An 8,928-nucleotide genomic window follows, 5' to 3' on the forward strand; every position below is an offset into this window, starting at 1 on the left:
TAGTATATTATTCCATTCTCACACTGCTATAAAGAACTACCTGAAACTGGGTCATCTTTGAAGAAAAGAGTCTTAATTGACCCACAGTTCCACAGGCTGTACAGGAGGCATGGCTGGGGAGGCCTCAGGAAACTTACAATCATGGCAGAAGGTGACAGGGATGCCAGCACGTCTTCACATGGTGGCAGGTGAGAGACAGAACGAAGGCGGAGGTGCTACACACTTTTAAAAGAAGCAGGTCTCATGAGAATTCCATCACAAGACAGCACTAGAAGGATGGTGCTAAACCACTAGAAACCACCCTTATGATTCACCTTTCACCAGGCCCCACCTCCAACACTCAGTATCACAATTCAACATGAGATTTGGGTAAGTACACAGAACCAAACCATATCATTTTGCACCTGGCCTTTACCAAATGTCATGTCCTTTTCACGTTTCAAAAAACAATTATGCCTTCCCAAGAATCCTCCAAATTCTTAACTCGTTCCAGAATTAACTCAAAAGTCCCAGTCCAAAGTCTCATCTGAGACAAGGCAAGTACTACTCCTCTGCCTATGAGCCTGTAAAATAAAGAAACAAGTTAGTTAGTTCCAAGATACAGTGCAGGTACAGGCATCGAGTAAATGCTCCCATTCCAAAAGGGAGAAATTGGCCAAAACAAAGGGGCTATAGGCCTCTTGCAAGCAAAACCCAGGAAGGCAGTCATTTAATCTCCAAGCTCCAAAATACTCTCCTTTGACTCCATGTCTCACATCCAAGGCACACTGATGCAAGGGGTGGGCTCCCAAGGCCTTGGGCAGCTCTGCCTCTGTGGCTTTGCAGGGTACAACCCCCAAAGCTACTTTCATGGGCTGGGATTGAGTGCCTGCAGCTTTTTCAGGCGAACAGTGCATGCTGTCAGTGGATCTATCATCCTGGGGTCTGGAAGATGGTGGCTCTCTTCTCACAGCTCCATTAGGCAGTGCCCCAGTGGGAACTTGGTGGGAGCTCCAACCCCACATTTCACCTTCACACTGCCCTTGTAGAGGTTCTTCATGAGGGATCCAGTCCTGCAGCAGACTTCTGCCTGGACATCCGGGTGTTTCCATACATCCTCTGAAATCTAGGCAGAGGCTCCCAAGTCTCAACTCTTGCCCTTTGCATACCCACAGGCCCAACACCATAGGGAAGCCATCAAGACTTGGGGCTTACACCCTCTGAAGCAATGACCTGAGCTGTACTGTGGCCCCTTTTAGCCATGGCTGAAACGGGAGCAGCTGGGATGCAGGGCACCATGTCCCAAGGCTGCACAGAGCAGTAAGGCCCTGGACCTGGCCCACGAAACCATTTCTCCCTCCTAGGCCTCTGGGCCTGTAATAGGAAGGGCTGCTATGAAGGTCTCTGAAATGTCTTAGAGGGATTTTCCCCATTGTCTTGGCTATTAATATTTGGCTCCTTTTTACTTATGTAAATTTCTGCAGCTGGCTTGAATTACTTCCCAGAAAATAGGTTTTTCTTTTCTACTACATGGCAGGTTGAAAATTTTCCAAGCTTTTATACTCTGCTTTCCTTTTAAATATAAGTTCCAATATCAAACCACCTCTTCGGAAATGCATATGAGCATATGCTGTTAGAAGCAGCCAGGTCACTTCTTGAATGCTTTGCTGCTTTGAAATTTCTTCCACCAGATACTCTAAATAATCTCTCTCAAGTTCAAAGTTTCACAGATCCCTAGAGCAGGGGCACAATGCCACCAGTCTCTTTGCTGAAGCATAGCAAGAATGACCTTTACTCCAGTTCCCAATAAGTTCCTCATCTCCCTCTAAGACCTCCTTGGCCTGGACTTCATTGTCCATATCTCACTATCAGTATTTTGGTCAAAGCCATTCAACAAGTCTCTAGGAAGTTCCAAACTTTCCCTTATCTTCTTGTCTTCTTCTGAGCCTTCCAAACTGTTCCAACCTCTGCCCATCCAAAGCTGCTTCCACATTTTCAGGTATCTTTTGTAGCAATGCCCCACTTCTCTGATACCAATTTCCTATATTAGTCCATTCTCACACTGCTATAAAGAACTATCTGAGACTGGGTAATCTATGAAGAAAAGAGGTTTAATTGACTCACAATTCTGCAGGCTGTACAGGAGGCATGGCTGGGGAGGCCTCAGAAAACTTACAATCATGGCAGAAGGTGAAGGGGAAGCCAGCACATCTTCATATGATGGCAGGTAAGAAAGAATGAAAGGGGAGGTGCTACACACTTTTAAAAGAAGCAGATCTCATGAGAATTCCATCATGAGATAGCAGTGGAGAGATGGTGCTAAACCATTAGAAACCACCCCCATGATCCAATCACCTCCCTCCAGGCCCCACTTCCAACACTCAGGGTCACAATCCAACATGAGATTTGGGTGGGGACACAAGAGCCAAACCACATCAAGTAGTAAGTAAATACGGCAAAGTATATGAAATTAAAAATACAAAAATCAATTCTGTTTTCTTTTTTAAATTTTACAGGCAGGGTCTTGCTCTGTTTACCTAGGCTGGAGTGCAGTGGCACAATTATAGCTCACTGCAGCCTCAAATTCCTTGGCTCAAGCAATCCTCTCACCTCAGCCTCCTAAGTTTCTGGGACTACAGGCATGTGCCACCATACCCGGCTTATTTTTTATTTTTGTCAAGATGGTCTCACTCTGTTGACCAGGCTGGTCTCGAACTCCTGGCCTCAAGTGATCCTCCCGCCTTGGCCTCACAAAGGATGAGATTTCAGACATGAGCCACTGTGCCTGGCCAATTCTATTCTTATATTTTAGCAGCAAACCACTGGAAAATGAATTGAAAAGCAATTTCATTTATAATAGGTTCAAAAATAAAATATTTAGTAGTACATTTAAGAACAGATGTACACAGGTGTATATCTACATTTAGATGTACACCTGTTACACGTAACAGATGTACACATCAGCATAGTGTATTATTAAACTTTTAGATTTTTGCTTATCTCATGGGAGAAATAGTGTCTTCGTGTAGTTTAGTTTTTTTAAAAAAATGAGTGAACTTGTGTATCTTTTCAAAAGTTAAAGAGCCATTTGCTTTTTTTTTTTTTTAAACATATTTTAAAATAGAGAGTGGGTCTCACTATGTTGCTCAGGCTGGTCTCTTAGCTTCTGGGCTCAAGCTGTCTGCCCACCTCAGCCTTCTAAAGTGCTGGGATGACAGGCATGAGCCACCATGCCCAGTTCCATTTGCTTTTCTTTTTCTGTGTATTGGCTGTTCGTATCCCTTGCACATTTCTTATTGAGTTTTGTTCTTTCCCTTATCTTTTTACAGGAACTTTATATGTTATAGAAGTTAGCCCCAAGAATGAAATCGTGTCCTTTGCCAAAACATGGATGGAGCTAGAGGCCTTTATCCTAAGTGAGTTAACGCAGGAACAGAAAGCCAAATAGTGCATGTTCTCACTGATAAGTGGGAGCTAAACTATGGGTTCACAAAGGCATGCAGAGTGGTACTGTGGACATTGGAGACTCAGAATGGGGGAGGCTAGGAGGGAGGTAAGGGATGAAAAAGTACCTGTTGGGTACAATGTACACTACTTGGGTGACGATGGGTCCACTAAAATCCCAGATTTAACCACTGTACAATTCATCCATGTAACCAAAACCCACCTGTACCCCAATGCTATGAAAATAAATAAAACCAAATTAGCTCTGTTTCTGTTAGATGAGATGCAAATATTTTCCCAAGTTTGTCCTTTGTCTTTTGACTTTGTTTATGGTGTTTCACTCATGCAGATGTTTTTTATTTTCATGTTTTTAACTTGTCATTATTTTCTTTCATGTCTTCTGGATTTTAAGTCATGTTATCAAGGCTTTCCCACTCTGATATTATAAATGAATTTTTCCTCATTTCTCTTAGAACTTTGATTCTTTCACTTCCCACATTTAACCTTCCACGTATCCAGAATTTCCCCTAGCATAAGTTGATACGGTCCCAATGTTTCTTTTTTTTTTTTCCCAAATGGCCACTCATTTATACCAACACCATTTATTGAATCGTCTATAGTCCCCACTGATTTGAAATGCCAGCTTTACATACCAAAGTCCTGTATGCATTTGCCTCTGTTCTGTTTGGTAGGTCTATTCAAGCTCCAGTTCCCAAAAGTGTTGAGTGTCGCTTAAAATCTAGAAGGGCTGGTTTCTAGTTTTCCATAATTGCTCCTCTTTTCTAGTGTCCTCTGTCCTATTAGGGCTTATTGATTTTTAAATATGATTTGTGGATTCAGTTTTCTTTAGTTCTAGTGAGCAACAAAAACAACCAAGAAAAAAATAAAAAAAACCCTCCCTGTTTTCCTTTCTTTCTTTCTTTTTTTAATCAAGATCACCTTAAGTTTAAAAATTAACGTAGGATAACTTGACATATTTTATGATTTTTATGTTACTCTCCAAAAATATAATAAGTGGTTCTATTTATTCAACTCTACTCCTTTGTCCTGCAGGAACATTTTGTTTCCTTATCAAGTCTGATATTGTCTTTTGGTCTGAGATAGACATATTTAAAAAAATTGTGTTCATTGATTTCTATCTTATTAAAGACTGGTTTTGCTAACTTTGTTCCTATCTATTTTTTGTGAACGTACATGGGGCCTTTTCTTTTGCTATATTTTCTAGCTATTAGTATGTACAGAGGCTTTTGATTTCTGTGTATTTATTTTATACCTTGCTTGCTCAGTGTGTTTTATTTCTAGTAATTTTTGTTATTAGTTGATTCTCATGAATTTTCCAGATATCCAATTATATAATTTGTAAATAGTCATAGCCTTACCTCCTCTCCTACAATTTTTGTTTCTCTGATTTCTTTCTCTTGTCTGGTTGCTTTAGATAGTACCTCCAGAGTGTGTTAGATAATAAAGGGAAATAATGCCAATCAGACTTTTTTCTGACTTCAAGGGAGTTTCTAGTGTTTCCTTATTAAGTCTGATATTGCCTTTTGGTCTGAAATAGACATATTTTTTTAAAAATTGTGTTCATTCATTTCTATTTTATTACATATATTTTTAAAAAACCTCAAAAGGCCTGGTGCAGTGGCTCACACCTGCAATCTCAGCACTTTGGGAGGCTGAGATGGGAGGATTGCTTGAGGCCCGGAGTTCAAGACCAGCCTGATCAACATAGTGGGACCCTATCTGTATTATTTTTAAAAACATAATAAATAAAAACCTCATAATGGAGATTAAATTTTGATAGGGCTTGTCTTACTATCTATGGATCTAATCATGTTACTTTCCCTCTAACTTATTAATATGATATATCATATTAATAATTCCTACATCAAGTCATATTTGCATTTTGGAATAAATGTCACTTGGTCATCATATATTCTATTAGATAATATTTTATAATTTTTACATCAATATTTGTAAGACTGATCTGTAATTTTCCTTTTTGTGTATGTGAAATTGTTACTGGGTTTTGGTAGCAGTTATAGTTGCTTTATCAAGATAATTTAAAAGTTTTTTTTTTCTTTTTCATAGTCTAGGTAGTTTAAATAGCACTGGAATGATCTGTTTTTTAAAGATTTGGAAGAAATCCTGTGAAACCAACTGGACTTAGGGAATTAGGGAGAGTGGTTGGCTAGTTTCTTTGTTTCATCTATGAAATAAATCTGCTTAAGATTTTTCTGTTTTTTGTAATCAGGTTGGTAAATTATGTCTTCCTAGAAAAATGATAATCTCATTCATATTTCAAATATAGTTGCATAGCGTATTCAAATATATTAATACAATATATAATATAATATATATTAATATAATGTATATTATGTATTATAATATATAGTACTTCAAATATATTTGCATAGAATATTCAAATATATTTGCAAAGTAGTCTTTTGATTCTTCTAATTTTCTGTAGTTATTGTCCCATTAGCATTTCTCATGTTGTATGTTTTTAATTTCTCCCTTTTCCTTGCTTAGATTAAGCAGAAGTTTGTTTTATTTATTTTTTCAGAGAGCCAGCTTTGGTTGTATTTATCAGTTTTATTCTTTTTCTGTTTTCTAAATTATTAATTTCAACTTTATTTTTATTATTTCCTTTTCTAGCTCCATAAGTGGTATGCTGAATTCATTCATTTTTACTTTTGTTTATTAATATAATCATATGAGGATGTAAATTTTCATCTGAACGCCACTGTAGCTATATCTCAGATTCTTGGTGTTAATATATATAATTAGCTGTTGTCATAATTATGATTTATGGTAGAAAGCCACTAGAGAGTTAAGAAAATAAGTGAATTTGCTTACTTAGGATGGGCCTAAATTAAGAAGGGCCTTGAATGATAGATGGTAGGCAGAGGACTTTAGACTCAATAAAAATAGTGTTAAGAAGACATTGAAAATCCTTGGTTAGGAAACTAACAAGATACGTGTTGTTTGGAAAGATGAACAGCCCGTATATCAGCAGTTACCTTATCTACTGCTTTGTGTTTTTCAAAACAAATTTTGGATAAGAAATGCCCTTTTCAGCAAAGATGGAAAAATAACATCTAACTATTTACTTCTCAAAGATATTGCCAAATCCTGTAAGTGAATATCCAGCTGGAACCTTCCACAATTGTTTTGAATGTTGTACTTGCACTTGTTTGAAATCTTTAAGTTTCCTTTAAATGTGAAGTATATCCTAAAGTAATGAGACCATGAAGCAGCCATTCATTTCTACTATGTATTTTGTGTTATTATCACTCACTTGGAACTTACCTTTGCTGTCAAAGGTGTCTTATTTCTCTACTAGATTGTAAATTCCTTATACAAATGCAATATTTTTATATTGTAGGAGGCCAATATTTGTTACTAATTTATTTTGCTTAAAACTACTGTTGTATAATTGTAAAATTCTCACAGTGAGCATACAAATAATTGAAATACTCTTGAGACTGTTATCTACCTTATCTTTTTATTATTCCTAATCATATGGAACATTTTCAATGGTCTCATATTAAGTAGATAGTCTACTTTATCCTGCCTTTTTAATCATTGAGCAACTAAATTTGGATTTGTTTCGTTGTACCTACGATCTCTTTTATTTGACTTTTGTGTCAAGGCCTTGCAGTATCCATCTCCTAATTTCTTACTGATTTTGCTGGGAGAGGCAATTGGCTATAAAAACTGTATTCTTAGGTTCCTCTGCTGGTAAGAGTAGCCACGTACTGGCCGAGTGCGGTGGCTCACGCCTGTAATCCCAGCTCTTTGGGAGGCCGAGGCAGGCAGATTGCCTGAGCTCAGGAGTTCGTGACCAGCCTGGGCAACACGGTGAAACCCCGTCTCTACTAAAATACAAAAAATTAGCTAGGTGTGGTGGCATGCGCCTGTACTTCCAACTACTTGGGAGGCTGAGGCAGGAGAATGGCTTGAACCCAGGAGGCAGAGGTTGCAGTGAGCCGAGATCGTGCCACTGCACTCCAGCTTGGGCAACAGAGTGAGACTCCGTCTCAAAAAAAAAAAAAAAAAAAAAAAAAAAAAAGAGAAGCCACGTACTAAGTTCTGGCCTCTGGGATGGAGGTAGAGGTTATTGAGCAGAAAGTTCCTGCTTGGGATCTGGAGGGAAAGGTTGGGGGAAGAGGATCATGTTCCCAGAAAGGATGGTAGACTAGAAAGTTGAAGTTGTGCACAAGACTGGCTACATAATTTGCAGGGCCCAGTGCAAAGTGGAAATGCAAGGCTCCTGTTCTCAATTATTAATACTCTAAAAATGCCAATAGCAGAGAATTACCCTAGCATTGGGTCCACAGGTCATAGCCCCATGCAACTGGCTCTGAGTATGAAGGAACCCGGGGCCGGAGGAGGCCATGAGCCTTCATCCCAGCCCTGGGCTGCCAGTCTGTTCTTTTCATAGAGCGCACAAACCTCCTTCTTGGTTAAGCGTCTGTTGTCTGGGTTTTCTGTTACATGCGTTCCGTAACTGATGCAAGTTATCATTACCCTCATCTGATAGATGGAGAAACCGGAGCTCAGACAGGTTTAGTGCCCTGTGCATGGGAGCAGATTTCGGGGTATTCACAGACTCAGGTTCTGTGAATTTGGGTCGTATATTCATTCTGTGTCAACACGTTGTCTTTCTTTTTCCACGGAGATGTTAACATTCTGCATTTCCTATTTCTGGCCAGATTTTGCATTCTGCAAGTTTGCTTGTTTCACAATGCCCCCCTCTTTGTAGCCTGTAGTAGGAGGAAGAACTTCATCCCATTTGTTTTTCCTCATTTACATTTAATTTTTACTCTGGAGTGAACATAATGCAGAAGTTCAGTCCACATTTAAAATATTGCTAAAAAGTGATTCACTTCCAATTCTAGCAAAACGTTTATACCTCTGATTCCTCAGTAATTCTCTTTTTGCAGAGGAAGAGTTAAGATTACATAATTTAATTAAAAAAGAAACTGGAAACATGTAAGATCGCATCCGATGTGAGTTTCTGTCTGACCTTTCAAGAGAGAAGCATGTATTGGCGATTTTTCCAGTGAGATCATGATCAGAAGAATTTATCTATCAATGTATACTTTTAATTTAGGATAAACCTAAGGATAAACAGTGTTTGTAGCTCTTTGCACATTCTATCTATGGCCATAGGATGTGCTATGGCCATTAACTGTCATTTGTTTTGTTAGCGCTAAAAACCATAGCTGCGACTTCAACTTCCTAGGGACCCCAGTGTAACACAGGTGTTGTATTTGTTGCGTTCAAGTTCTGGTGCAATCTTAGTTTTGCTAAGCTCCTGCAAAAGCACCTAACACAAGTCAACATTTCTGAAACAAGTTTTAATTTCTTTCAGTCCTCAGTAGTGCTGGTGTGTGGGTTGGGGGCATGGTGCACAGTGTGTCAGCACAGATAATCCGTGTATCATGGGTCATCCACCTCTCCCCCTCTTTACCGGAGGAGAGAGCATCTCCCAGGGAATCA

General features: G+C 38.9%; 1 long non-coding RNA gene across 2 annotated transcripts in view; it reads left to right on the forward strand.

Moving 5' to 3' along the window:
• The window catches only part of TAGAP-AS1 (TAGAP antisense RNA 1), a 43,184-nt gene that overhangs the window by 23,963 nt on the left and 10,293 nt on the right, over nt 1–8,928 (forward strand). For both annotated transcript variants that reach the window (NR_183546.1, NR_183545.1), the window contains exons 2-3: nt 2,114–2,206; nt 3,309–3,395. This is a non-coding gene — a long non-coding RNA (TAGAP antisense RNA 1). The remainder of the gene's footprint in view (nt 1–2,113; nt 2,207–3,308; nt 3,396–8,928) is intronic.

Source organism: Homo sapiens, chromosome 6 (genome assembly GCF_000001405.40).
Source record: "Homo sapiens chromosome 6, GRCh38.p14 Primary Assembly".
NCBI lineage: Eukaryota > Metazoa > Chordata > Mammalia > Primates > Hominidae > Homo > Homo sapiens.